The 27,871-nt window shown below is 52.1% G+C and overlaps 1 protein-coding gene and 1 long non-coding RNA gene across 17 annotated transcripts in view, besides 12 other annotated features; one reads left to right on the forward strand and one right to left on the reverse strand.

Annotated features, from left to right (window-relative positions):
• Nucleotides 1-3,055: 3,055 nt before the first annotated feature.
• On the reverse strand, nt 3,056-27,782 carry FOXP4-AS1 (FOXP4 antisense RNA 1). Of its 3 annotated transcripts, none has more exons than NR_126415.1 (2): nt 27,539-27,782; nt 3,056-3,386 (listed from the first exon to the last, which is right to left on the reverse strand). It is a non-coding gene; the product is annotated as an FOXP4 antisense RNA 1 (long non-coding RNA). The 3 variants fall into 3 exon arrangements; NR_126416.1 differs by lacking the exon at nt 27,539-27,782 and adding an exon at nt 26,622-26,706; NR_126417.1 differs by lacking the exon at nt 27,539-27,782 and adding an exon at nt 25,250-25,404.
• Nucleotides 10,813-11,383: an enhancer, noted in NCBI's record as "H3K4me1 hESC enhancer chr6:41499390-41499960 (GRCh37/hg19 assembly coordinates)". NCBI's record gives its function as "activates a minimal SCP1, AML or CMV promoter by ChIP-STARR-seq in naive H9 embryonic stem cells {active_cell/tissue: H9 hESC(naive)}" and the evidence as "EXISTENCE:reporter gene assay evidence [ECO:0000049][PMID:30033119]".
• Nucleotides 10,813-11,952: a biological region, named in NCBI's record as "H3K4me1 hESC enhancers GRCh37_chr6:41499390-41499960 and GRCh37_chr6:41499961-41500529".
• Nucleotides 11,138-11,497: an enhancer, noted in NCBI's record as "active region_24510". NCBI's record gives its function as "activates an Ori minimal core promoter by ATAC-STARR-seq in GM12878 lymphoblastoid cells {active_cell/tissue: GM12878}" and the evidence as "EXISTENCE:reporter gene assay evidence [ECO:0000049][PMID:35858748]".
• Nucleotides 11,384-11,952: an enhancer, noted in NCBI's record as "H3K4me1 hESC enhancer chr6:41499961-41500529 (GRCh37/hg19 assembly coordinates)". NCBI's record gives its function as "activates a minimal SCP1, AML or CMV promoter by ChIP-STARR-seq in naive H9 embryonic stem cells {active_cell/tissue: H9 hESC(naive)}" and the evidence as "EXISTENCE:reporter gene assay evidence [ECO:0000049][PMID:30033119]".
• Nucleotides 17,812-18,106: an enhancer, noted in NCBI's record as "tiled region #11601; K562 Activating DNase unmatched - State 5:Enh, and HepG2 Activating DNase matched - State 14:Gen5'". NCBI's record gives its function as "activates a minimal TATA promoter and a strong SV40 promoter by Sharpr-MPRA in K562 cells, with weaker activation in HepG2 cells {active_cell/tissue: HepG2 | K562}" and the evidence as "EXISTENCE:reporter gene assay evidence [ECO:0000049][PMID:27701403]".
• Nucleotides 18,119-18,188: an enhancer, noted in NCBI's record as "active region_24511". NCBI's record gives its function as "activates an Ori minimal core promoter by ATAC-STARR-seq in GM12878 lymphoblastoid cells {active_cell/tissue: GM12878}" and the evidence as "EXISTENCE:reporter gene assay evidence [ECO:0000049][PMID:35858748]".
• Nucleotides 23,552-23,846: a silencer, noted in NCBI's record as "tiled region #4049; K562 Repressive DNase matched - State 2:TssF". NCBI's record gives its function as "represses a minimal TATA promoter and a strong SV40 promoter by Sharpr-MPRA in K562 cells {active_cell/tissue: K562}" and the evidence as "EXISTENCE:reporter gene assay evidence [ECO:0000049][PMID:27701403]".
• Nucleotides 24,889-25,158: a silencer, noted in NCBI's record as "silent region_17183". NCBI's record gives its function as "represses an Ori minimal core promoter by ATAC-STARR-seq in GM12878 lymphoblastoid cells {active_cell/tissue: GM12878}" and the evidence as "EXISTENCE:reporter gene assay evidence [ECO:0000049][PMID:35858748]".
• Nucleotides 25,229-25,338: an enhancer, noted in NCBI's record as "active region_24512". NCBI's record gives its function as "activates an Ori minimal core promoter by ATAC-STARR-seq in GM12878 lymphoblastoid cells {active_cell/tissue: GM12878}" and the evidence as "EXISTENCE:reporter gene assay evidence [ECO:0000049][PMID:35858748]".
• Nucleotides 25,489-26,168: a silencer, noted in NCBI's record as "silent region_17184". NCBI's record gives its function as "represses an Ori minimal core promoter by ATAC-STARR-seq in GM12878 lymphoblastoid cells {active_cell/tissue: GM12878}" and the evidence as "EXISTENCE:reporter gene assay evidence [ECO:0000049][PMID:35858748]".
• Nucleotides 25,542-27,871, forward strand: part of FOXP4 (forkhead box P4) — a 56,004-nt gene continuing 53,674 nt past the window's right edge. For all 14 annotated transcript variants that reach the window (XR_926052.4, XR_926053.3, XM_011514289.3 and 11 more), the window contains exon 1: nt 25,542-26,028. The gene's annotated coding sequence lies outside the window, so the exon portion shown is untranslated. The remainder of the gene's footprint in view (nt 26,029-27,871) is intronic.
• Nucleotides 26,239-26,418: a silencer, noted in NCBI's record as "silent region_17185". NCBI's record gives its function as "represses an Ori minimal core promoter by ATAC-STARR-seq in GM12878 lymphoblastoid cells {active_cell/tissue: GM12878}" and the evidence as "EXISTENCE:reporter gene assay evidence [ECO:0000049][PMID:35858748]".
• Nucleotides 26,709-26,858: a silencer, noted in NCBI's record as "silent region_17186". NCBI's record gives its function as "represses an Ori minimal core promoter by ATAC-STARR-seq in GM12878 lymphoblastoid cells {active_cell/tissue: GM12878}" and the evidence as "EXISTENCE:reporter gene assay evidence [ECO:0000049][PMID:35858748]".

Genomic DNA, 27,871 nt, shown 5'->3' on the forward strand with positions numbered 1-27,871 from the left:
TCCTGTGGTCAGTAAATAACGTCCAATGTTGTCATTATACTGAAGCAGTTACTGAGGCCTGGGATGGGCAGGGAAGCCTTCAGGGAGGATGCAGGACTTAAGCTGGGTTTTCCCTGGAATTCCTTCTCCCTGCCAAGTGGAGAGAAAGGCCCTGCAGAAAAGCATCATGGAGGTAGAGAGACAGGAGAATGATGGCAGAGCTCATTCCCCAAACCCAGTGGTGGCCAAGGGGTGTAGGGACCAACGCAGCTGGATTCTCAAGGAAAGTCTTTGGCCTGGGTCAGGAGTCTGGGCTCCCAGTTCTGGCTCTGCCCCTTGCTGGCAGGTGATTTGGGGCAAGTGATTTGAAGCTTCTTGCGTCCTTCTTTTCTCTACGGTAAAATGGGAATAATATATCCTCCCTTCATTGAATTGGTTGAGAGGATGAAAAGAGATATGGGGCCAGGCGCAGTGGTGCACACCTGTAATCCCAGCACTTTGGGAGGCCGAGGCGGGCGGGTTGCCTAAGCTCAGGAGTTTGAGACCAGCCTGGGCAACACAGTGAAATCCCATCTCTACTAAAATACAAAAAATTAGCTGAGCATGGCGGCATGAGCCTGTAGTCCCAGCTATTTGGGAGGCTGAGGCAGGAGAATTGTTTGAACCTGGGAGGTGGAGGCTGCAGTGAGCTGAGATCGTGCCACTGCACTCCAGCCTGGGTGACAGAGCGAGACTCCGTCTCCAAAAAAAGAAAAAAAAGAAAAGAGATATGGTGGGTGTTTCTGCCTGGAACATAGCAGATGCTCAATAAACATTGGATTTGCATTTTGGGCTGTCCTGTGCCCTTTCAGACTCCTTTTGGGCACTTTCCTGAAAGGATGAGCCAGATGGTGATGAGTCTACTGGGTCCCAGACTTGGAGGAGAAGACGACTAATAGCTGAGCATGGTCCCCACGTAGCTGAAGGGCTGTCCCGCCAGAGAAAGCCTAGATTTGTTCCAAAGGGGCTCCAAAAGGAAGGAAGAAGTTTCACGGACACAGATTTTCATTTGCACTCAGGAGGAATTTGGCAATGGTCCGGGCTATTTAACAGCAGGATGGACCTCTATAGAGACAGCTAGCTCGTGCTATTAGGAATTGTGTGGGCAGAGGTGGCTGAGTTGTTTTTTGTTTTGTTTTGTTTTTTGTTTGTTTTTTGTTTTGAGACAGAATTTCACTCTTGTCACCCAGGCTGGAGTGCAATGGCACTATCTTGGCTCACTGCAACCTCCACCTCCCAGGTTCAAGTGATTCTTCTGTCTCAGCCTCTCAAGTAGCTGGGATTACAGGCGCGTGCCACCATGCCTGGCTAATTTTTGTATTTTTAGTAGAGACGGGGTTTTGCCATGTTGGCCAGGCTGGTCTCAAACTCCTAACCTCAGGTGATCTGCCTGCCTTGGCCTCCCAAAGTGCTGGGATTACAGGCGTGAGTCACCGCGCCCAGCCCTGAGTTTTGGGTAGAGGTAGAACAGAGAGGTGGGGACTCCTTCTCTGCGAAGTTTGGACCCGTTGGCTTCTGGGATCCCTTCCAGCTTTGAGATTTGGGGATTTACCTCCATTCCTTGCCAGGCTTCACAGTCCATCAAGATCTACCCATACAACAGATTTTTTCCAATCCTTCACGGAAATTTGCCTGACCCCTGTGTCCTTTGGCTTCAGTCATGTGATGGGCCAGCACATCTGAGAGATGCATCCATGCTAAATTTGGAGTGGTCACAGATTAACACATTAGTCCTTCCAGGTAACCCAGATGCAGGTTTACAGGGTCTTGGATCTGTCAACTTAAAGGTAAAAGGAACAGTGGAACTTCTAGCACCGGGGAGGGACCGAGGACAGATATGTTTGGGAAAACATGCCTGAGAAGTTCATCAAATAGTGCCTAGTACCCTCCAAATCCTTCTTACAATAAGATTAACTTTAGCTAAGATCACAAACCAGAGCTCAAAGATCTGAAGGGCTGGAGTGCCTACCTTGGCCCCTCTTCATGAGCCAGGTGAAGTTCCAGGGGATCTCTGGACACCTTCTCCTTGCCCTGTAGACGCCTTGCCAAGGAGAACCCGCTTGCCTGGCAGCTGTAAGCCAGCACTTTTCTTTTCAAAGCCTCTGAGTCTCCTTTCCCTCCTCCTCCTTCCTTCCCGCCTCCCCCCTCAACACCCAAAAAAGGAGGATGCCCCTTCTGTTGAGTACACAGCCTGCAATTTTGCTGTCAAATCTCAGCCAGGAGGTCAGTGTTGTGACTGACTGTGTAAGGATCGCTCCCTTAAGGGTAATTACACTAAATTCCCCTCTGAAGGACAGCTCTCTCTGGATAGAATACAAGAAAACTCCGCATCCCCCATTCACGGAAACTCATGATTTCTGTGGCTGTCACTGGTACTCTGGCAGCGAGACACTTCGAGGTTCTCCAACCACTCGGAGGTGAGTATGAAGGCGGTGGCCGTGGCAGCACCCAGGCCATGGAGGTGGGTGGCCAAGCGGCAAGATTAGGGGCGTGGGGTCCAGAGGGACCCCTCTGGGGAGCTGGGGTCCTGGGTGGCCAAGCAGGAACTGGGCCACAGACAGGAGCATCTCCACCTGAGCTGGCCACGCCCTGAACAGGGAATGCAATGTCTCTCCACTGACATTCACCCCGGGAGAACACCCCTACACATGCACTCATTCCTTTGTTTAACACATTGCCTTAGAGCACTCATCACCTGCCCTGCACTGTACTAGGCACTAAAGGGGGACCCGCGATGGGGCAGCAGCCCCCTCTGCAAAGAGCTGGAGCACTCGTTGGCAAAACAAAGCACTTACATGTGAAAGGTGAATAAATATCCAAGCCTCCTCCATCCCCTGCATCATCCCCAGACCCTATCAGAGGGGCAACACGCTGACCCTTGTCCCCACCTGCCCTGAAGGAGGCTGGCAGCTAGACCTTTCAGGTCTAGCAGCCACACTTCCACTCTCCCCACCCTGGGGAGACCCTGGCAAGAGTTGGGGAGTCACTCACCCACAACAAACAGTTAAAAGGAAGAAAGCAGGTCTGGCGATATCAATGCACTTTGATAACAATAAACTCTGCTTTTAATTTATGCTAATGTGTAGGGCTGTGGTGACAGTAAGAACTAAATTACAGAGTGGCTTTCGAGCTGGTAATTATCCCTCCATTTTTCGCTGCTCTGGAAGATGGACACACAATTATGCTCTCTTGCTGTATATTAATACAGATTCTTGACATCTTCAGCAGACCTGGAGCTGTCATCGAGCTTTTTGTCTCCTTTAATTGAAAATTAATGGTTACTAGGTTGCCACGGAAACAGAGGCCACGGACGCCAATGGCGCTCACGTCTCACCGCGGGACTGGCGGCGTCAGGAGTCCGGAATGACCTTGAAAGTTAAAAGAAAAAAAAAAAAACTTAAAAAAGAAGGGGAGAGGAGGGGAGAGGAGGAGAGGAGGGGAGGGGGACAGGAGGGTGGGGGGGGTGTTCATGTCAGAACTGAGAGAGAGACAGAGAAAGAGGAGAAGGAAAGGAGTGAAAAGGGGGAAGAGGGAGAGAAAAGAGAGGAAAAGAAGAGATTAAAAATTGAAAAGAAGAGAAGAAATTCCAGGAGGTTGGGAGTGTGGATGCTGGTGAGGGGAAATTAAGTTAGTAAGTTTTACCTCTCAGCTTTTGCCTCTTACCTCTCGTGCTGTTGCTCACTTTCTCTCTCTCTCTCTCCATCTCTCTCTCCCTTTCTCTCTTTTTTAAAGACCCACTGAAACACTGGGACCTGGGTCCCCACTTCAAAATCCATGATTCTACAAATCTGTTTCAGTCAGAACGTCAGCATCTGCTGAGAGCCCCCATGAGGAAGGGACAAAGGCTCCTTTGGTGCCATGAGAGGTGGCAGGCAGAGCAGGGGCAGGGGTGAGGTGTGCCACGTGGGCACTTCTCAGGAGCCAAGCAGGCTGTGCTGTCAAAAGTGGGGGCCACGGAGGAGGCCACTGTATGGGGAGCTGGGAGCTGCCGCAACATTGTCCAGCAGACACGGGCAGGTGAGAGGGCTCTGTCTGCTGGGCCTTCAGCTTGAAAACACAACAAAAGAACTCAAGAGTCAGAGATCGGGGGCGGAGGGGGGAAGGGGATGAGGGGGGAGGGTCCAGGCAAGGAAGATAAGAGATACAGGAGGGCCATTCAGTGAGCCTCTGGGATGGCCAGTGGCTCTGTGCTTGGGAAGGTGTTTTCCTAGGAGAAGTTAGCAGGTCCAGCATAGAGGCACTGGGGACCCCTGAGTGTTCTAGCAGGAAAGGTGGGCTCTTTCCTCATCTATCCACCTTCCCAATTCCTCAGCCGAGGGCACATGCTCTAGAAAAGCAACTCAATTCAACCATTATTGGATGCCTACAGTGAACCAGCAGCCAAGCTAGACTTTGGGGTCACAACAAACCAGACACAGATCCTGCCTAGAAAGCCTCAAAATCGAAGCCGGGAGTAGACAGACATGAATAGACAATTGGAAAGTTAGCGACCCCCTCGAAGATTTCTCTGCAAGGATGTTCACCTCAGTATTATTTATAATGGCAAAAATCTAGAAATGGATGGATGACCAACAGGTGATGACTGATAAAATGATATGCCTTATGCCCAAAGACAGAGCACTATACAGTCATTTTAAATTATGTTGGAGAAGAATATGTCATGACCTGGGGAAAAAGTTATCAATATTTTATTTAATAAAAATATTAGTTGACAAAATGGTGATGTATTCATGATTCCATGATCTTGTTTCTGAACTTTTAAAGACATGTGTACATTAAACATGTAACAAAAAGTTACATATATGTGTATGTAAATGTGTGAGTGCGTGTGAGTGTATATTTGTGAATATGTGTGTGTGAATGTGTGTGTCCATGTGAGTGTGTGTAAATGTGTGTTTGAGAGTCAGCTTAAAAAAAACTAGGAGATACACTAAAGTCGTACCATGGTTATCTCTGGGTGGGAAGATTATGGCTGATCTTTATTTCCTTTTTTATGCTTTTCTGTATTTTCCTTTTTTTTTTTTTTTTTTTTTTTTGAGATGGAGTCTCACTCTGTCACCTAGGCTGGAGTGCAGTGGCTGGATCTTGGCTCACTGCAACCTCTGCCACCCAGGTTCAAGCGATTCTCCTGCTCAGCCTCCCGAGTAGCTGGGATTACAGGCACCTGCCACCACGCCTGGCTAATTTTTATAGCTTTAGCAAAGACGGGGTTTCACCATCTTGGCCAGGCTAGTTTTGAACTCCTGACCTCATGATCCACGCGCCTCAGCCTCCCAAAGTGCTGGGATTACAGGCATGAGCCACCATGCCTGGCCTGTATTTTCCATTTTTTTAAACAATAAATATACATAACTTCTATTAACAGAACAAAAAGAAAAGAAAAGGTGTTTTTAAAATTCTAGAACCAGGCCCCTAGAGATAAAATCCCCAATAAGGTGCTCCTCACACACTTCTGCAGGGACTGGGCCTCCTTGCCTAAGGCTTTCCCCCACAAATCAGACCCAGCAAAGCTTTTCCCCAATTACCAGAACCCCATCCTAGGTTCTCATTCCCCTCCCCCTACAACACTCTCCCCATCCCCAGCCTGCTGGCCAGGGTGTCCAGAGATAGGGACACCCAAGCAGGGCTGCAGGGTGGGCCAGGGGAGCAGGCCCTGCAGCCTGGGATGTGGATGCCAGGAACTCCTTCTCTTTGGTTCCCAGGTGGACCTTTAAGGTAGCACCACTGCCTTCAGCATCATATTTGGACTCACATGCAGGCCACCAGCTATCAAGGGCTAGGAAAGGGTCTCTCATTCACTGGGGCCCCAGTAGCTGGCTGGACCTCAGCAACTCTTTGCTAAGCTGAATATCAACAGTGGATAGTTATGGAGTAACTGCTCATCATTACAACTCTAAGGTACATATTACTATCTCATTTCACAGACCCTGCAGCTAAGGTCCAGAGAGGCTAATTGACTGGCTCCAAGGCACATAGATGATCAGTCACAGAGCTGGAACCCAACCCCAGGGATGATCTGCCTCCAGGTTTGTACTCTCTGTGCCTGTTTCTTCCCTTGCCAGGTCCAGAAAACCCAGGTACAAGTGGAGTCTCCCTGAATGGCTAGGGTTTCTAGAATAGACTCCATTCTGGGAAGGTCACCATGAAAAACTGCATCTTTTCATGGTCTTGGCACCCCTGGCTTGCCCTTGGCAGGGCTGGAAGAGTTACCCCTAGTTAAAGTGGGAACTTTGGAGAAAGCCTGGCTGGGATGAGGGCTTCTAGAAAATGCATCCTCTCTGCCTCTCACCAGATACATCCTTAACTCACTCACCTGGCAAATGGGAGCTCTGTTCCATACCCCTAATTCACTTCTCTACCCCTGCCCAGTCTCAGCTTCCAAAATCAGATTTCCACACCCCTTCCCCCAGGAAGCTTTCAGCCAAGTCACTTCAAATTGCCACACTTATTCCTGTACTCTGCCTCAATAATAAATAAAGCTACCCTATGGCGTATGTCTTCTGTCCTCCATGGCAGGCCCTATGCCAAGCACTTCGCACGTGTCCACTCCCTCTATCTTCCTGACAAGTTTATGAGGAGGTGCTATGATTTTATCCCACTGAGGCATAGAAAGTTAGCCAGCTTGCCCAATGTGACATAGCAAATCAGTGGCAGAGCCAAAAGGTGACCCCTTGCAGTCTGAAACCAGAAGCCACGTTCTTCACTACCACACCAATGGCAATGCAAGGATATGAGGTTTCACTAGAATTGTGGTGCACTGGATGACCTGGAAATCAGTAGCCCATTTGGCTGGACTCTTGTGACATGTCAATGATGAGGCAGGTTGGGGTAATGGTCTTTCCCCAGAACAGGGGATCTTGCATGTGTAGACAGGTGGAAACAGGCTCACCTCCTCTCTGGAGGTAGACTGCATCTGCTTCATTGAGCTGGGAGCCTCTCAGGGCAAGGTCAATTGTGTTCTCACTGGTCCTGCCACCCACACTCAGGACATGAGGGAGGGTTCCGGGGTGGGGGTCGGGGGGCGACTGGCTGCTCCACTGGCTGGCAGACCAGCTATAGGGACAGGTATAGGGGAAGGGTCCCAGGTAAGGGCCATCTGTGCCTCTGCCCCATCCCTGGCTGAGCCCCAAGACCCAGAGGAGGCCTGACTTTCTCTTCCCTCCACCTCCCTCCACCCCCATACCAGCCCTTCTCCACCTCCCCCCTGTCCTTCCCTCCACCTCCCCACCTCATCCCTGCCCACTTCCCTCCCCGCCCAGTTTCCCAGAGCCAGAACAAACAAGAAGACAAACCCAGCCGCAGCGGCAGCGGTGGCAGCGAGGGGAGCAGGGAACTTGCCTTCATTTCCCTGGCTTCCCTGATCCCGACCTTAATCCCCGCTCAGCATCCTGTCAGCCGGGTTGTTCTCAAGCTGACATTGCTGCAGGCGCCTTCTTGGCAGCCTTTCCTCAGATCTGCCTCCTCCGGGGACTTCTAAAGAGGAGCCTGAGGTTTCTCTGTTACAGCCGGCTTCACTTGCTGCCCTCAAGCAAAGCCTGGGCTCCCAGGGGGCCGTAGGGAGCGGGGGCTGAGCGGGGGCAGTGCCAGGCCTGACGTTTGGGAAGAAGAGAGGAGAATGGAGGTGGCTGGACCCCAGAGGCTTCCACAGTGGGGGTCAGGCCTGGAGCAGGAGCCCAACCAGTGCTGTGGGTCTGCTCAAAGCAGGGAGGGACTTGCTCAGGTGTGCAGGCCTAAGAAACTCAGGGGAAACTGAGGCTGGAGCCCAGAGAATTCAGGCTGGCGCTAGTTCTGGCTGTAGAGGAAGCCAAGTGGTCTGCAAGTTTCTGAGCCTGCAGGGAGATCACAGCTCAGAGTGGGTTTGGAGAGAGGGGCAGCTGGAGCCTGCACTGTGTGTGAAAGAAAACACAGACATACACATTCATCAGTGGACGTGCTGAACACCTGCTGGGTCCTGGGAGCCAGACGGGAAAAGCAGCCTGGTGAGAGGGATGCGGGTGAGCTCCCCAACAGACAGACCCCAGTCCCCACTCTGCCGTGGGGTCGCTGTGTGGCCTCAGACCGGTCACTTGGCTTTTCTGAAGCCCATTTTTCTCATCTATAAGGTGTGTGGTGGGTAGGGGGAGGTCATCAGGGAAAGCATCCTTGCAGGATCGATGTGAAGTTTAGAGTCAGCGTGTGCAGAGCACCTGGGGTTGAGGATGATTTTTACCATTCATGTCACTGTCCACAGGGACATTAGTCTGGAGCTTTGTCTGGGTTTTCACAAGTGGAACTCTGTGTGGAGGGGAGTCGCATGAGGGCACGCGTGTGTGCAAGTAAGCAAGTGAGTGTCCATGTGGGAGTCTGGGCAGGACTCCCATGAAGCTGCCACACATCTGAAATCAGGCTCAGCCCACAGCCTGAACAAACATCTGGGACCATAGGTCTGGCCAGCTCTGCCGTCCCCATACACCCCCACCCTCCAGTTGTGATACACCCATTCTGCCAAGGGGATAGGGATGTAAGAGGCTCCTGGAAGCCCAGGAAAGGTGCTCCTTAAGCTCCCCCACCTCTTTCAGCCCCCCTCCGGGGACTCCCTCAGAGCCATAAGTGCTCCAGGGACTGAATTGGAAGGGAGTGCCTGAGACCCCAGGTGCTCAGCTTCTTGGGAGAGAGCTCAGGGTGCAAGCTGGGTGGGCTGTATGAGAGTCCATAGGGTCCCAAAGGCAGAGGGGTTGAGTGAGTGGCAGAGAGGGTGCCTCTCCATCCACCTCTCCATTCCAGAGTGGGAGGGAGGGAGTCCTGGAGAGGGGGCTATAAAGCAGGATCTGGATTCAGTCCCTCTACCTCCCTAATAGGGCCTCTCCCTGGATCAGTAAAAAAACAAAAGCACCAGCTCTTCCTGTTGCCAGGGTTGATGTAGCCGGGTGGCCTTAGGCAAGTGACTAAACCTCTCTGACCCTTGCTGTCCTCATCAGTAAAATGGGAATAGTATTGCCTGTCGGTGTTGCGGTGCAGTGAAAAACAAAGCAGTACATGCAAAGCACAATGCCTGGCATGTGGTAGATGCTCCAAGGTGTGCACAACATCCCAGCTGACACAAAGTTTTGACTCGGGCTGTGGCGGGTATGTCTGTATGAGCATTACTTGGTAATAAGAAATAGAATGTTGACAGCGTTTTAGGTTCCAAAAATGGATATGAATGTCAAAAAGTCAAAGCAGCCAGGTAAAAATGTCGTGTAACAGCCAGGCATGGTGGCATGCACCTGTAGTCCCAGCTACTCGGAAGGCTGAGGCAGGAGAATCGCTTGAGCCCAGGAATTCGAGGCTGCAGTGCGCTATGATTTGATTGTGCCACTGCACTCCAGCCTGGGCCACATAGCAAGACCCTGTCTCTGAAAAACAAAAGCACAAAGCAAAACGAAAAGCATCATGTAACAGCTTGGCACATATAGGTATTGGTAAATTATATTTTCCTTCCTCTCTTCCTCCCTCCCTTCCTTTGGACCAAATAAATTTTATCATTCTCCAACCAAATCATTCTCACTCTTTGGGGGAAGTCAAATTCCCTCCTGACCTAACCATGATGCTTGCATCTCATCTTTATGCGTTGGGCAGGGGGGTTGCCTCCAGGGCCCACATAGGGCACTGTTGTCTCCCAGTCTTTGGGAAACCACCAGTCCAAGAACTCTCAGGAACTTGCTAACCATGCTGATTCCTGCCCCCCACCCCCCCGACCTGCTGAATCAACGCCAGGAAAGGAGCCTGGGGATCCGCATTTAATAAGCTCCCCTGTGAATCTGACACCCACTAAATTAGAAAACCGCCTCCTTAGCACTTTTTCTCTTTTGCCCTTGGCCCATATGTGCTCTTGTTTGTCAGACCGTGTTTAAAGTCCTTGTCTTGGGAAGGTGGCTGCTTCACCCCGCAGCCAGGAGATTCCTGTGGGATGCTCCCTGCAAGAACCCCGAGGTCACTGGGCAGGATTCTGCCCTGCACCTTAATCCCATGGCACCTGTATATATTCATCCCCCACAGTCTGCAGGAGTTGGGGGCTTCTGGGCCCATTTTCCATAGTGGATGCTATATTCCTCAAAGGTCAGAACCTCTGGGTCCCCCCAGCAGGTGGCCTGGGATACAACCAGGGCTCCATGTCAAACAAAGACATTGTCTCCCTGCCCTGGCACTCAAAAAGACAGGCTCAGGTGGGGGCAGGTGCCCTTCCAGCTTCCCAAGAGCCTCCCTGCACTGGGGGTTGGGGAGCAGGGCAGCCTTCTGCTGCTTCTTCCTTCCCTGGCTTGTCACCCAAAGGAGGCTCACCTTAATGTTTAGGAAAGGGTGGAGAAGGGGACACTTCTCAGACCTCTGATGACTCACCATTCCCCAAATTCCAACCCCCACACCCTTATAACTACTCCCATCACCTTAGAATGAGTGAGGGCAACCAGAACTTTACCAAGGGAGGCATCCTTGGGAGGAGGAGGCAGTGGGGTGTGTGAGGCTCTTCTGGACTCAGAGGCCTGAGTGTGAAGTTCTGGCTCCTCATCAGCCAGTTGCACAGACCATGGCAAGCCCTCCTCCAGTTCTCTCACCTGGGAAGCAGCCATTAAAAGTTGTGAGGCCTCAGAGAGACCACGGGGATGAAAGTGCTAAGTGAACATGAGGTATGGATCTTTTTTTTTCTTATTTTATAGAATTAATCCTTTTGCATCCTCCCCCAACAACAGGTGCAGGCTACCTAGGAAGACCCTGTCCAACTGCCTCCTTTCTGGGAGTCCAGCCTCAAGCTGTCTGGCTCTTAAAACAAGCCCATCTGTCTGGGAGGTTTCAGAGGCAGCTGGGAGGGGCCCCCAACCACCCCAGCCCATTCCAAATAGGTGGAGTGGGAGAACCTGGTTCTGAGGCAGCCTCTAGCCATGATGCCCACCCCGGGGATGTCAGGGGAGGCGAGGAGAGGAGGCACCAGGGGAAGAGGACTCTGGGAGCCAGATTCCGAAACTCCTATGGGCGTGAGATCAGAAACCCAAACCCTGCCCCCCACCTCCCCACCCCTTAAGCCACCGTCCGGAAAAAATAAACTATTTCCTGCAACCAGCTCCGAAACAAAGTCTGTGAATGCACAGTGACACATATTACATAAATAGAAGCCACAGAGGGGAAAAGCCTGTTTTCTCTTTCATTATTTATCACTCTCTAACCATCTCCAGCTGGGTGAGTAAACAGGCGCATTGGCCCATAATGAGGAACAGACTGCTGCCGTGGGGCTGCCGGAGGGGCGCGTGTGTGAGCATGAGAGTGTGTGGATGTTTCTGTCTGTCTGTCCCTGAGAGGGAAGCGTGGGAGCCTGAAAAGGCAGGCTTGTGGGGGCATCAGATTCCAGAGGACAAGGGGGGAGCCACCTGGTGCCCCCGCTGGAGTGGAACAGAGCCAGTCTGTTGCCTCCTTGCCATGAGGGTTGGTGCGGGAACTGGTGAGCTGGGCGGAGGAGTCAGAGGGGAGAGACTGTGTGGGTGGGAGAGGATGTGAGATGTATGAGCCAAGTGCGAGGCTGCAAATGTGCCGGGTCTCTGAGCATGACCTCCACAGGGTGGCCTCTGGGAGTGAGGCGGGGGCAGGAGGGTGTGCGAAGGGGTGTGACTGGAGGGGGTGTGTAGGGCTGTAAGACTGGGAAACTAAAGGAGTGTGTATGTGATGACCTCGCCATGTGTGTGTATGCGTGCATGTGGGGGGACCATGGGAGTGTCTGATCCTGAAAGTGTATATGGGAGTGTGTGATTTTTGTGACTATGGGATTGTGTGTTTTATATCTGTGTCACTATGGCAGTATGGCCTATGTATGTGAGATTTTATGGCTGTAGGTGGTATTTTGGGTTGAATTGTGCTCCTCCCCAAAAAAGATATATTGAAGTCCTAACCCCAGAACCTCCGAATATGATTTTATTTGGAACCAGTATCATTGCAGATGTAATCAGTTAGGATGAGTCCCTACTGGAATAGAGTGGCCCTCATGCATTATGACTAGTGTCCTTATAAGATGTCCATGTGAAGACACAGAGACAGATGGAGGCAGAGGCTGGAGTGATGCACCTCCAAACCGAAGAATACCTGGGGCTACCAGAAGCCAGCAAAGGCAAGGAAAGGCCCTTCCCCACAAGTCTCAGAAGGAACCTTGCTTTTGGACTTCTGGCCTCCAAAACTGATACAATAAATTCCTGTTGTTTTAAGCTACCCAGTGTGTGATACTTTGTTGTGGCAGTCCCAGGAAACTAATAGAGGTATGTATGAACATGTTGTGCATATGAATATGTTGTGCAAGCTTGAGAGTGCATGAAAAAATGTGAGAAGCCAGCTGGACGCGGTGGCTAACACCTGTAATCCTAGCACTTTGGGAGGCCAAGGCGGGCAGATCACCTGAGGTCAGGAGTTCGAGACTAGCCTGGCCAACATGGTGAAACCCTGTCTCTACTAAAAAAGTACAAAAATTAGCTGGGTGTGGTGGTGCATGGTTGTAATCCCAGCTACTTGGGAGGCTGAGGCAGGAGAATCACCAGAACCAGGGAGGCAGAGGTTGCAGTGAGCTGAGATCGTGCCACTGCACTCCAGCCTGGGTGACAGAGCCAGACTCCATCTCAAAAAAAAAAAGAAAAAAAAGTGAGAAACCACGAGACTGTGCATGTATGTGAGTATGAGATGGTGGTAGTGAAGATGGAGGTGACTATGGGAGTGTGAAAACGTGTGTGAGACAGGGAATGTGTGAAGTGTCTGTGTATTTGTATGTACCAGAACACACATGCTCAGTACCCACAAATCATCATCCTGGAAAGGAACTCAGCATCTGTCCTTCACATCTGATTGCCTCCACCCACCCTCCCTGACCTTGGGCAGCCCTACCTGAGGCAAGGTAAGCCTGGAGGAGGGCTGCCCACAGCCTGCCCACAGGACACAGGATGCAGGCTTGCTCCTCAGGAACCCAGATGAGGCCAGGCATTGAAGGCTGCAGGCAGTGAGGTAGAGGGTCAAAATCTTTGTTTGTGGGGCTGGGCATTATTGCCTGAAGTCTGATTTCTATTTTTTTGTTTGTTTTTTGAGACAGAGTCTTGCTCTGTTGCCCACGCTGAAATGCAGTGGTGAGATCTTGGTTCATGACAACCTCCGCCTCCTGAGCTCAAGAGATTTTCCTACCTCAGCCTCCTGAGTATCTGGGACTATAAGCGCACGCCATCATGCCTGGCTAATTACTGTATTTTTTGTAGAGAAGGGGTCTCATGGCCAGACATGGTGGCTCACACCTGTAATCCCAGCACTCTGGGAAGCCGAAGCGGGCAGATCACCTGCGGTAAGGAGTTCAAGACCAGCCTGGCCAATATGAAACATCTATCTCTACAAAACACCTGTCTCTACAAAAATACAAAAATTAGCCGGGCATGATGGTGGGTGCCTGTAATCCCAGCTACTTGGAAGGCTGAGGAAGGAGAATCGCTTGAGCCTAGGAGGTAGAGGTTGCAGTGAGCCATGATCGCGCCATTGCACTCCAGCCTGGGCAACACAGAGAGACTCCATCTCAAAAAAAAAAAAGAAAAAGAGAAGGGGTCTGGTTATGTTGCCCAGGCTGGTCTCAACCAATCCTCCTGCCTTGGCCTCCCAAAGTGCTGGGATTACAGATGTGAGCCACCACGCCCAGCCCTGATTTCTTTCTAGCTGCTATGCTGGTATCCCCAGTCCTGCATAGGGAGACAGGCCTATGCTCAGAGAACCTTGAAGCCACACTGGGTTCCTAGGCACCATGCTGACCAGCCCCATTCCTGGAGACCACTGGATGTCACAGAGCCAGCTGGAAACTTAGCCTTCCAGACCATGTTCAGACCAGCCTGTCCCTCTGCAGGCTCAGCCTGTCTTCCAACCAGGAGACACCATAATTGTTCAATTACTCAACAAAGCACATGTTCCAAGGCCCATGTCTTAGCATCCTCAAAGGTGTCCCAGAGAGGCTTTGCTATGAAACTTCAGACAAGCCACTTCTCTCTGAGCCTCAGTCTCCTCTCTGAAGAGTGTACAACCATCCTTACCCTGCCTACCCTCATGGAATTGTTGTCAAGATTAAGGAGCTCAATGGACATGAACTTGCCTTATAAAGAAATGCCTTATAAGATGCCTCCCACAGACCTATGGGGTCAGTATCATCTCCAGCATCAGCTTCCCACTGTCTCTTCCCTTAGCTCTGTAATGCTTTGATTTAATTCAGGAGTCTGCAAACTGTGGCTCACAGACAAAATCCTGCCTGGTTTTGTATGGTCTGTTAGCTAAGTGGTTTTCACAGATGAACATTGGTGGTCACTTTGATAATAGGGAGCGTTAACTTTGAACCCCAACCAAGCAAAATGTTATCCCCTTTCCCCAAATTTCATTCTTCTTATTAGTAAACCTGTAGTACAAACAAAAGTTCTCAATTATTATTGTCATTCTAATTTCATCAATAAAAGTTTTGTGGAAATTTGTTTTCTCTCTTGTTATGTAAATCCCTGCATCATATTCTCAATTTTGCCTCATAGCCTGTAGAGGTTAAAATACAGCAAAATTTGCTGGTCTTTGCCTCCACTGCCCAACTCTGCCCCGGTCACACAAAAACAGCCACAGATGATACGTAAGCAAATGAGTATGACTGTGCTCCAATACAACTTTATTTCCAGAAACAAGTGGTAAGCAGGATTTGGCCATAATCCACCAACCCCTGAAGTAGAACACTGTAAGCCCTTGGCCATTTTGATGGGTTTGGAGAAGGGCAAGTCAATCCCTAGTCAAGTCCAAATAAGCTAAGTGTTGGCTTGAACAATTCACTGGACTGAAGTGGGCTGGATGTGAGTCTGAAGCTGATGGGACTCCCTCCAAGGACTCTAAGAATAAAGCCCACCCAGGAAAAGGCAGAGTTAAGCAATGGGAGCACCCAAGGGCATCATTTTAAGCCCCTGGATCACACATCATCTGCAGCGAGTCCTGCTCCCTTGACTTTCAGTTACAAGAGTCAGTCAATTTTCATTGTTATTTAAGCCCATTTGAAGTGGATTTTCTGATGTTTGCACTGATACAAGAACACAAAAGAAGAGTGTCTAATCCAGCCTGGGGCATTCAGGGAAGACTTCCAAGAAGAGGTGCCATCTGAGCTGGGTCTTAGTCAGCAGTGAAAGCATATGGGAGAAAAGATATTCCAAACAGAGGACACAGTCTGAGAGGAAGCCTAGCTACATGGAAGAGCATAGCACATGCCACAAGTCCCAGGTGGCAGAGCTGGGAGTGGCCAGGGATAGAACCAGAGGTTCAAGAAAGGATACCTTGTACCCTGTGCACCCAACCAAGGTGCTTGAATTTTGAATGCATCTTAAGCAGGGCATGACAAGTTCAGGCTGGAATTGTATTTATTTAATTTTTATTAAAGATGGGGTTTTGCCATGTCGTCCAGGCTGGTCTTGAACTCCTGGCCTCAAGCAATCCATCTGCCTCAGCCTCCCAAAGTGCTGAGATTACAGGCATGAGCTACCACACCCAGCCTGGGCTGGCATGTTAGATAGAACTTTTTCACCACTGTGGAGGATGCACTGAAAGGAGGCTCCGGAAGAGGACAAGGCTGGAAGTGGGGAGGCCAGGTAGGAAGCTATTGGAATACTCCAGATGGGGGATGATGAAGGTCCTGCCCTGACCAATAGTAGGAGAAGTGGAGGTAAAGAGGAGGGAATGACTCTGAGAAATGCCTTGGAAGCCACAGGACTTGGTGACTGGATGTGAAGAGGAAGGGATAAGGAGAACCAAGGGATGATTCTAGTTTCTAGAGTGACTGGGTAGATTATGGTGCCACCAATGGGGAGAAAATGCAGAGGTGGAGCATGTTATGGATACAGAAGATGGCTTGGGCTGGGGACATGTTGAGTGTGCCATCCCTGGAGGCCCACAAACACGCACATGGGATCCAGGTCCCACACAGGATAGTAGTGGGAGCCACCATCTCAAAAGTGGAAGGTAAAACCATGAGAGTAGATGGGCTTGTCCGAGAGCACAGATGACGAGGACAGAGTGGGGCAACGCCCAGTGCTTCAGACAGGACAGAGGGAGATGAGATGAGCCCACAAAGACTCATGAAAAGGAAAAGTTAAGCAGGAGAACAGACCGGCAGAGTGTGGCAGGCACTGGCGCCCTGCCCATCTCTCTCAGTGTTCGCCTCTAAAGGTAGAAGCCTGCTTACTGCCAACACCTGCTGTTTGCCTGAGGCTTTTTTCCTGGCCGTGGAAACACCCTTGGCTCCAGCCCAGAGCAGGCCGGAAGTGCTGGAGAGTGAATGCGCCTAGAAGGAGGACGCAGCCCACGATGAAGGGGAAGTTGGTGGATGAGTACCCTAAGGCCTGCGTCCGTGGGCTGGCTTGTGTGCGGTGTGTGTTACGCACGCTCAAGTCCTCAGTGGGACTGCACTCCTCTTGCTGACAGTGGGATAACACTCCCTTTATTGGCTGCCTTCCCTTCATTCTCCCTGCCCTGCTCCCCCACTGGTATTTCTGGGACCACCTCCCAAATAAACCACTTATGCTTGAATCACTGTCAGAGTCTGCTTCAGGGAGAACCTAAACTAAGACAAACATGTCATGAAAACCAAACAAATAGAAAACATGAAGGTGTTCTCACCAGGTAACTTTTGTCTCTGGAGGGATCAGGTCTTTCCTGTCCCAAGGGGCCCACCTCCACTCTCATAAAAGAGGCCAATTTCTTGTCTGGTCCGAAGGTTCTCAGCAGGGGACTTTCCACATTCCCTGGCTGAGCAAACTCTAACATCAAGAAATCCTTTTGTAGTCCCAGCTACTCAGAGGCTAAGGCAGGAGGATCTCTTGAGCCCAGGAATTCAAGGCTGCAGCGAGCTATGGTCATGTCACTGCACTCTAGCCTGGGTGTCAAAGTGAGATCCTGACTCTAAAATAAGACAGAAAAAAATAAATACTTTCCTGTCTCTCATCTCATTCCTTCTGTTTTTGCAGGAGCTGCTGTGTACTGCAAATGCTCAGAAAGATTCCTCAGCCCCGAGCCCGCCCTCGCCTTGTACCCCTGATTCAGTACTCTTCTTTTCCAGCACTCCAGGTGGCTTTCACTTCTTTCTATTCATCATATCTCCAGCCCCGTAGGTGTTCTCTGCTTCTCTGTCTGCCTGCAATCCAGAGACTGGCTATGACTGCTTGCCAGTGTCCCACAGGGAGACGGGGGGCTAGGTGGGCTGGAAATACTCCCAGTGTACCCCTGACCCACCCTGCTCCCCACCTCCTACCTCTCAAGGCAGGAGGCCAAGGGGAATCGCCTTGAACCAGTCTTCTTGAGAGGGAAAGGGCCCTCAAGAAGCCGTATACTAGAGCAATGAGGTGATCACTCTGGTGTGTAACAAGCCAGGGTATGAAGACAGGTGCTGTACTTACATAATTGTGGAACCGTGTATGAATTTCAACCTTTCTGAGCTTTAGTCTTGTCATTTATAGAATGAAGATAATAATACTATCAACCTGATTTAGGCTGGGTTCCCACATAAGCAGCCCCTGAGACACTATTCCATTGCGAATGGTTGATTTAGGAGGTGAAGGAAATACCAGTAGAAAAGTGGGGAAGTAAGACAAGGAAAGGAGGCAACAAAGTATATGTTACCAAGCCAGCTACAGGATGGGCTCAGTCCCACAGAGGAAACCCTGGGAGTATGCATGGCACACATGACTCGGAGTTATCCCACAAGGGGAGTAAGGGAGTAGGGGTATTTATATACCAGTTCCCATCAGTTATGGGTGGAGGGCTCCCCCAGGAAGTGTTAGTTCCCTGGCACTTCTGGTCTCCCACACAGTGGAAAAGTGGGCTCTAATTCCCAAAGGAAACCCTTAGGCTAGGAAAGTCAGGCACTAGTGATTGGAAGCCTTAGGGGTGAAAAGTCACAGTGCACCAGACAGGGCACCAACAAGTATCTGTTGCATCATCTTAGAGGACTGTTGGGAGGTGAAATGAGGTCATGTGTGGAGCGTGCTTAGCACAGTGTCTGATGCATGGGTGGTTCTTCTTTAAGCAAGACCCAGCTTCAGTTTGCCTTCAGCTGCCTGGCTCCAGGGACTTCCTGCTGCCTAACAACCTTGAGAGAGGTCCTGGGGGCTGGAGAGCCATGGCTCAAGAGCAGAGGGGACTGGAGGAGAGAAGACCCTAGGGCACATGGTGAAGACCAGAAAGAAGAGGGGGTGCAGGAGAACCAGGAAGGAGCTGGGGCCTGGGGCCCAGGCCTGGCATAGAATTACAAGGATGAGGAAGTGTGTGAGCCCCACTCCATGGACCCAGCCAGATGCCACACACAATAAGGGATGTATAAAGACACTCTTATCTTCACTTATTTCTACTCTACATTCATTGCCTCTGACATTTGGAGCACTGCTTTCTCTCAAAAACAAAATAGGACTGTTGTGGGAATCAGAGATACATATTAAAAGTGCCTGGTGAACAGTTGATGCTCAACAGGTGGCAGCTATTTTCAATGTGAGTCTACCTGGGCTTTAACTTCCCTCCTTCATATCCCACCTCACCCTCCAGTGCCAGCAGCTGAGACTCCAAGCCCCAGGTCTTCCAGGTTCCATGGGGAAGGAATACATCCTCTGCTAAGCACAGAGTTCTGAAGACATCCTAAGTCAACAAGCAGAAAGGGAGCCAGAGTAGAGATGAGAAGAATGGGGAGCACAGCCCTCTGAGAGAAGGGGATGGCTCTGAGGGAATGAGAGTCTTCCTTGTCCCATTTTCTACCCAGGTTTCCCCCTTGACCCTAGCTAGCTCTTTCCTTGCGATCACTGAAGACACAGTTATTACATATGTCCTACAACATGCAGCTGATACCTGCAGGACACCAACTTGCCCTAAAGCGTTAGGCTATTTTTTGTTTTTTAAACTTTGCTCTAAAGTATCAAATCATAATCAAATCAATATGCATGTACTGTGCAGCTACCTTGCAAAAGAAATTAAGCTGGATGCAATGAGAAATCCCCAAATGACTGAAATTGTGGGTCCCTAAATTAAGGAGTTTATTATCTAGTTGGAGAAATGAGGCATAAAATGGCTAAACAGTTAACAAACAATAGGGTTTGTTAAAAGTTACTGGGAGCTTATTAAATAAGTTAGCTAACAACACATTATAACATCAATGACATAGGAGTGCTAAAGAGCACCTGGAAAGAGGCAGAAGTGGGCTGGGTTAATCAAGAAAGAATAACAGTAGCTATAGTCTATCCAATGCCTAAACTGAGAAGAATCCTACATGAGCCATACTTGTCCTCACGACCTCTCTGCCAGAGTCTCATTTTTCTTCCCATCTTGCAGTTGAGTAAACTAAGGTTAAGCCCCTTGCTTCAGGATTTGGGGCTAGAAAAGTGACAGAATTGAGACTTAAATCCAAAAGTCTTCAAGTGGATGGAAAATGTGGGATAGCTCTTAAAAGATAAGGAAGGGCCGGACGAGGTGGCTTGCACCTGCAATCCCAGCACTTTGGGAGGCTGAGGCAGGAGAATTATTTGAGTCCAGGAGTTTGAGACGAACCTGCGCAACACAGAGACCCCTTCTCTACCCGGGCATGGTAGCTCACACCTGTGGTCACAGTTAATCGGAAGGCTGAAGTGGGAGGATCAGTTGAGCCCAGGAGGTTGATCACAGTGAGCTGTGATTGCACCTCTGCACGCCAGCCTGGGCAACAACGCGGAAGCTCCGTGTCCAAAAAAAAAAAAAAAAAAAAAGATGAGGAAGAACTAAATGAAGGAAAAAGGAATTCTTTTCTCTGTGCCCACTCCTGGGGCTTCTGCTACCCTCATGCATCCTCCACCCCATCCCCACCCCCATGGGTGGGGTGCATGGGGGAGGGATAAGGCACTGGGTCTGCTCTCTTGGCCCCTCTCTGTGTGTCCTGCTCTCTTCCTGCACAGAAATCCCTCCATGTAGGGATCTCATTTGACCTAAAGATGCTGTGTTCCAACTAGTGGGAAATTGCTCACTGCTTGTCAAGCTATCGCTTATTTCCTGATCTTTAATGACTGATTTTCCACCAATCAGCCCAAAGTCCCATGCCCACCACCTTTTGGACAAGGCCTGAGTCTCTGACTCCCTAAACGTCCCAGAAGGAACTCCAAATACCTCCAAGGGCCCAGGCACCCGGTCAGCCTGGCACCTAGAAGGACAAGCCAGCCTCGCCCCAGTCCTGGGGGCCCTCTCCTCCACAGCCCCTGGCACAGCTACCCACACTACCATGGTCATCTACTTGGGGCAATATGGTAAACTGATAAGCCTCCCCCAGAGGTAGGAGCCCCGCTTAAAACCGAGGAAGCCTAGAGAGTGCCTTGAAGGTTCCTGGCACGGTTCATTAAGATGTCAACCCCTAATGAAATATTTCTTTCTTTAAATCATCATTGATCTTGGGGAAGAGGAGCCTTTGTGGAAAAGGAAAAGGCTGTCCCTCTCCTATCCCTCCCTCACCTCCAATCGGCACAGATCCTAGGTCTTTCCCAGTCAGAAAGATTGGGAAGCAGGGAATGGAGGAACAGTGGGGAGATGGGAAAGGGAAAAGATTATGGAGCAGAAGAACCACAGGGGGAAGGAGAGGCACAGTGGGGAGGGAGGTCACAGAAGGAAGCCTACTGCAGCAAGGAGACCATAATACCCAAATATCCACTACAATCGAACTGCCCCATCAGTGGGAGGCTGGGTAACAAAACAAGATGGGACACACTGATATGGTAGAATCCTCTCCAGCAGCCTCTTAAGTAAGTGACCTAGAGACACACACAACACATGCAACAAACATGTAGACATTCATCTCGGCAGCATGAAGTTCAGCAAAACACAAGTAAAAACAAGGAGCAGGCTACCTTTCATTTAAAATTTTAATTGCTTCATACTTTACTATGCCCCAAAAGTGAATAAAAATAAATAACTAAAACAAAAGAAAATTTTGAGATACCCAAGCAATACCAAAGGAGTAAGAGTAGAAAACTTACTTGGGAAGGCCAACTTCAGAAAACCACAAGGGAAGGATGGAGAATGGGAAAGAAGGAGAGTCACAGAAAGGCCTATATTAGCAATGATTTTTACATGTTTCACTTTTAAGCATAAAATGTATAGCTCAATTAATGTTTACAAAGTGAACACATGCATGTAACCAACTCCCAAATTCAAAAAGACCCCCAGAAATCCCCTTGTGCCCCTCCGTCACACCCCCACCTAAAACAGCCATGCTCCTGAGTTTTAATGCCATCAATTCATTGGATTGGGTTTTGAATTTCCTATCAATGGAATCAAACGGTGTTTTCTTTCGTGTCTGGCTTTTATGCTCAACGTTGGATTTGTGAGATTCCTCCATGTTGTTGCTCGTGGCAATGGTTTGCTCATTCTCATTGCCAAGGACTAGCCCACGGATGAGAAGACCGTGGTTTAGTCACCTATTCCATTGTTGACAGCTGTTGTGAATAGTGAGCACATGCGAGTAGATGGCCTAGCATTCTGGTGTATGCCTTTTGGTGAACATATGTACATATGCATTTTTATTGGCATATACTTAGGAGTGGAGTGGAGTGGAGTTACTGTATTATGCTGATAAAGTGGGTTTTATTTTTGTTTTTTGTTTTTTGAGACAGAGTTTCGCTCTTGTTGCCCAGGCTAGAGTGCAATGGCACGATCTCAGCTCACTGCAAGCTCCACCTCCCATGTTCAAGCGATTCTCCTGCCTCAGCCTCCTGAGTAGCTGGGATTACAGGCATGTGCCACCACACCTGGCTAATTTTGTATTTTTAGTAGAGATGGGGTTTCTCCATGTTGGTCAGGCTGGTCTCAAACTCCCAACCTCAGGTAATCCACCCACCTGCCTCGGCCTCCCAAAGTGCTGGGATTACAGGCGTGAGCCACCACACCTGGCCTATGCTGATGAAGTTTTATTCCTCAATAACTAAAAAATAGTTTTTGGCCAGGTGTAGTGGCTCATGCCTGTAATCCCAGTACTTTGGGAGGCCAAGGCGGGCAGATCACTTGAGGTCAGGAGTTCGAGACCAGCCTGGCCAATATGGCAAAACCCCATCTCTACTAAAAATACAAAAATTAGCAGGGCATGGTGGCATGAGCCTGTAGTCCCAGCTACTCGGGAGGCTGAGGCAGGAGAATTGCTTCAACTCAGAAGGCGGAGGTTGCAGTGAGCTGAGATTGTGCCATTGCACTCCAGCCTGGACAACAGAGTGAGACTCTGTCTCAATAATAATAATAATAATAGAAACATAAACTGTCTGGGCTTAGGTTTGTTGGGACCATGGGAATGAAGCAAATGTTTCTAGATGTACACACCACTACCACCCCAACCTACTCCTGAGTATCAGGCCTGCTGCTAGGAACAAGCTCATCCATCAGCCCACTTCACCTCCACAATAGGGTGGCGGCTGACCTTGGGAAAGGGCGTCTGCTTCAAAGCAGGAGACCTGGGAGCAAGTCCTCGCCACACTACTTCCTAGCTATGTGAACTGAGCAAGTCATTTGACCTCTCTTAGCTTCACCTGCAGAAGAGTCACCATTGCTGGGGTGATAAGCTGAACAGCACGTTATTCGACTGCCTGGCAAGCATTTAATAAGTGGCAACTCATGATTTGCAGTTTTGTGAGGTCAGCATTCGTCATTTTAAGTGAGGACCCTGGAGCTCATCAAGGGGAAAATAAGTAATTATGGAAAGCATGTGAGGAACACATTACCAGGCTAGAAGTTTTGCCCATCCTCCCTCCCAAACACCCAAGGAGGCCTCCCAACCTCCCAATTGATGAGTGAGGTGATGAGTGAGTTAACTGAGACTCAAACATCATGTAACTTGCCTGGGTCACACACTGGTTAAGTGACAGACGCTGAAGTTCAACCCAAGGCTGCCTGACTCTAGCCCCTGTGCTCTTAACTATGGCCCCCCTGGAGGGGCCAAGCCATGAGCCTTGGTTCCGGCCACCGCCAAAGCACCTGCACCTGCCCTGAGTCCTGTGAAGGAACAAGGACAGAAAGAGGACCCTCCTGCCTGCTCCCGGTCACTCCCACTTTGGAGCCAAGGGCTACTCTTTTCAACCTTCTTAACGAAGCTCTTGCACCAGGAAGAAGGGCTTTGGACTGGCTTCTTTGATTTCGGGGCATTTGTTCTGTATCTTTCTTTGGGGAGGCTTTGTCTTCCTCGCTAAAATGCCCTTTAGGTGAAGACAAGACAGGGTCTTTTGATGCCTTGAGCCCCCACTGTAGCTCACAGGGAGCTGGGAACTGAACTGGCCTGGAGATGAGGGGTAAACTGAACTGAAAGTGAAGCATTTCCCAGGGCAATCCCTCTGGGCAAGTGAGCCCATGTGTAAGGTACAAGGGCTGCTGCAGGAAGGGGATGGGAAAAACATTCAGTGAACCAGCCAGAAAAGGGCTGGAGAAGCCCCTCGGAGGTCACCTCATTCAATACCCCCCTACAGAAATTCTCTCTTTTGTCTCCAAAGCCCCTAGTTCTCACCCCACCCTCAGCCTTTGCTGCAAGAAGGATAGGAAGGAGAACTGAGGACATAGTCACTGGCCCAGCTGGTCTGACACAAGGACTTGCCACTCCAGGCTTGGCCTAGGGCTGTCCACACACCATGATTTCCACCAGAGCTGGGCCTCAACAGAAGGTAAATCAGATAGTACTACCAAGGGCTTTCTTTCTCCCAGAATATCCTTCCCCTCAGCTAACCCACAAGCAGGCAGTGTCGCTTCAGAGACCACCATGAGCTTCTTTCTTGTCCTCACTGAAGTGGCTCTAGTTGGAATCTGGCTCATCACTGACCAGCAGCTGTGTAAGCCTGGGCAAGTTACTTGATCTCTTTGTGCCTCAGTTTCCTCTTCTATAAAATGGAGATAATACAAATATCTCCCTCCTGGGGTTACTGTGAAGATTAAATGGCTGGTGGGTGGTACGACTCAGATGTTAGCTGTTATTTTATTCTTATGGCTATGGTTATCTCAGTTGCCACACTGGAAAGGACACTGAGATATCCACATAAATGGCACTTAGAGTCTTCCCTGCACAATTTCACACCTAGAAATCTAAAACGCTCCAGCAGGACCTAAGTATGCCTGTCCCACCTGCCCAAAAAGGCAAATACATAAAATGTGGACCTGTGCAGGTGTCACTAACATTGCAGAAAAGGGACAGAAGTGATGAAAAACAACCCAAGAGGGTGCCTCCTCTCTGAGGTCCCCTTTTCTTTCAAGGACCACTGGAACGGCCAAGAAATCCCCTCCCCCCAGGCAACTAAGCATCAATCCTTGCAGCTCCGACCCCACACCTCAGGCTTCCAGCTCCCACTCCACAGGGGCTCACATACTATGCCAGCCTCTTGTCCACCTGCCTGAGGATTTAGGGCCAGGAGAGGCTTCAAGAGCCACTGTCTTCTTGTCCTGATCCCACAACAGGATCCTCCCTTGGTCATGGGGACCCGGCATCACTGAGCTGGGTTGGGGTACTTCATGAGGACCCCTGAGGCCTCCTTCACTTCTCCCCACCCCCAACACATGCAGACAGATGGGAGATGTTTCCGGCGTGTGTGGGGCGGGGAGGGGGACGGGTATTGAGATTTCCACGGGACTCTGAGTGGTGCGTCTGCTAACAACACAGCCCTCCCCCTTGGGCCGTGGGCATTTCCTCACCCAGACCTCCCCCTCCCAACCCAAACACACCATCGCCGCCACCACCACAATCCCTCCAGTCCCCCTGGGCAAAAGCGATGTTCAGAGACGCGGGGTTTTGTTTACAATCTAATTTGTCCGGATAATTGCCTCAACTTTGCACTTCACTTTGCCCGCATGGCTCTGGCCTTGGGCCCCTTCTTCACTGGTTCGCAGAGCACTTTACGGGAAATTCCCTTTCCGCAGAGGGAGGCAGTGCGCGCCAGGGGGTGACCGTTCACAAAGCCCTGAAGGGGCCTCCCCACCTTCTACCCTCGGCTCAGGAAGCCCACCCCCAGCCCCCACGCAGTGGGGAGCAGGAGGGAGGCCAGACAGGGCCCGGGCCTGACACTGGCTCCGTCTCTGGGCCCCCGGCCACTCCCCGCGCCGAGCGCAGCCCGCCGGGAACCAGTGAACCGTGTGGGATCAGGACTTGGCCGTACCTTCAGACTCCAGGGGATGGCCGGGGTTTGCAAGCGCCCCATAGGATTAGTCCGAGGCCAGGGTGAATCCCTGGGGTCCCTCCACCTACCATCTTTTTCAGATCTGCCGCCTCACGTCTTCTCCCCACGTTCCCATTTTTCCTCCCCTAAAGTTTGGTGCACGTGGTTTTCTCTCGCTCTCAGCGGGCTGCCAGGCGGGGTGAAAGTTGCTGCACCTGCTTTAGGCGAATTATGGTAGCACTAGAAGTTGGTCTCCCCTCCCTCCGCCGCTTGCTCTCTCGCTCCCTCCTCCCTCGCTCTCCGCGCGCTCCCTCCTTCCCTCTCCACCCTCCTCCTCCCCCGCCCCCTCCCGCCCCGCCCGCGCGCCGCCCGCTCGCAGCCACTCGCAGCCCAGGCTCAGTCGCAGCCCCTCGGAGTCCGGAGCCCGCCGTCCCTGCGGACCGGACAGTGCGGCCGGCGGCCGGCGGCCGGGACGGAGCCCCCAGCCCGCGAGGAGGGCGCGGCGCAGGCGGCGGCGGCGCGGCGGGGAGGAGCCCGGGCCGGAACCAGGGCTGGGCCGGGGGCGGGGACGCCGGGGTCCGGGAGCCCGGGAGCCGGAGCGAGCTGACGAGCGTCGCGGAAGGACCGGGAAGGAAGAGCGGAGCCGGAGCGAGCCAAGCAGCCCACAAAGTGCCATGCCCCGGCGGGGTTGAGGCGCGCGGCGGTCGGCCCGGCGCGCTGGGAGGACGCCCGGGAGCTGCGCGACGCGGGGCGGCGCGGAAGGGCAGCCCCGGCGGGCGGCGGCGGGCCCGGGCTGCGACCGGAGCGAGCCCCATGCCCCGCGCGGGCTGACGGGCCGGAGCCCGCACGGAGCGGCCGGGCGGGACAGGTAGGTGGCGGGTCGGGCCCAGGGACGTGGGTGGGGGCTGGGCGGGCGACCAGACCAACTCCCTCGCTCGCGCACTCTCTCGCCCGCTCGCTGGCTCACTTTGTGTTTGCAAACTGCCCGCCCGAGACGCGCTGGGCGCCGGGCGCCAGGAGGAGCCGGGCCCGGGCCGGCGCACTTTGTTCCAGCCAGGGCCGGCCGTGGCGCACTGACCCCGCGCAGCCGCGACATTCCGCCCCTGGCCCGGGCCCCAGCGGGCCGGAGCTGCCTCGGGAACAGGTGGGGGCTGTGGCGCGGCGGGAGTGGGGGCAGCCGGAGGCCGGGGCGGGGAGGGGGGCGGCCGGAGAGGCCACCGAGGCCCGCCCTTCCCCAAGAATCTGGGCCCCGCCCCCTCCCCGCCGGGCCTCTGGGAATGGGGTGTACGGGGGCGCGACCCCCTCCCCGCCCCGAGTCAGACAAAGAATACTTCCCGGCCCAGACTTTCCAGAGCTGGGAAGGGAAGTGGCTCCCCCCAACTCTAGTCGGTACCGGACTCCCCAGGACGCGCCGGAGACAGATGAAAATGGGGGCAAGAGAGCGGGGGATCGCGGTCCTACCCGCCGTGTCGTCTCTGGTGAAGAGGGGACTTGTCTTGCTGAGGTCGCACCTCGGAAGTGCCAGGGCCAGTCAGCCCCTTTTCCATCGCTCGGTCAGCTCGGGGATAGAGCGGAAAACTTCTTGGGGACTTGAGAGCGTCTGGAAATGGCCCCTGTGATTTGTGCGCCGGAGGTGGAGGGTGGGGAAACGATCTGGCTGACACCTCTACTCACCCGCTGTGGAGAGAGCTCCCGCTTCACCACTTAAGGGGGGAAGAGAGGGCGGCCACGGGGGCCCGGAGGCCACCAGGGAAGGAGCCCGGAGTGACCGAGCAGGACCCCCCCCCGCCCCAACTGAGGAGTCTGGTATCTCCCCTGGACAACCCCAGCACCTCTCTGACCGGCGGCGCTTCAGCCTCGGGCTCCTCATCCACGCCAAACAAACTTCCTTGGGCTGCGTCAGAGCACAGCCAGTGGCGCTAGAATGCGACCTGGGGTCCCGGCCGCCCCCATAAAGGACCGGGTAATTTCGCGGAATGCGGATTTTGAGACAGGCCCAGACGGCGGCGGATTCCCTGTGTCCCCCAACTGGGGCGATCTCGTGAACACACCTGCGTCCCACCCCGATCCTAGGTTGGGGGGAAAGGGTATGGGAACCCTGAGCCCAGAGCGCGCCCCGCTCTTTCCTTTGCTCCCCGGCTTCCCTGGCCAGCCCCCTCCCGGCTGGTTTCCTCGCTCACTCGGCGCCTGGCGTTTCGGGCGTCTGGAGATCACCGCGTGTCTGGCACCCCAACGTCTAGTCTCCCCGCAGGTTGACCGCGGCGCCTGGAGCCGGGAATAGGGGTGGGGAGTCCGGAGAACCAAACCCGAGCCTGAAGTTGCCATTCGGGTGACTCCCGAGAAAGCCCGGGAGCATTTTGGCCAATGCGGGTTTTTACCTGAACTTCAGCATCTTCACCCCGGTTTCGGAGACCTGCCTAGATTCGTCCCAGCACGCACTGTTTCGGGTTCGGGATTGAGGGTTAGGGCAGCACACACAGCTTGAGGGGCAATTGTTAGGACTGGCCCGAGTGCCCGCAGAAAGAAAGAGCAGCGGGGTTGTCGTATGGCCTGTAGCTGCGGGAAGGTCTGTGCCGGTCCCACTGTCGAACCCAGAAGCTCACTTTCCACAGAAAACCAGGGCTGAAGGGCCCCCTGACCGCCATGCCCTGCGGGCACCGGGCATTTTGAGCTCTCCCCCACCCCCTCCCCCTGCTGCGAACCAGCCGGTA

Source organism: Homo sapiens, chromosome 6, assembly GCF_000001405.40.
Source record: "Homo sapiens chromosome 6, GRCh38.p14 Primary Assembly".
Taxonomy (NCBI): domain Eukaryota; kingdom Metazoa; phylum Chordata; class Mammalia; order Primates; family Hominidae; genus Homo; species Homo sapiens.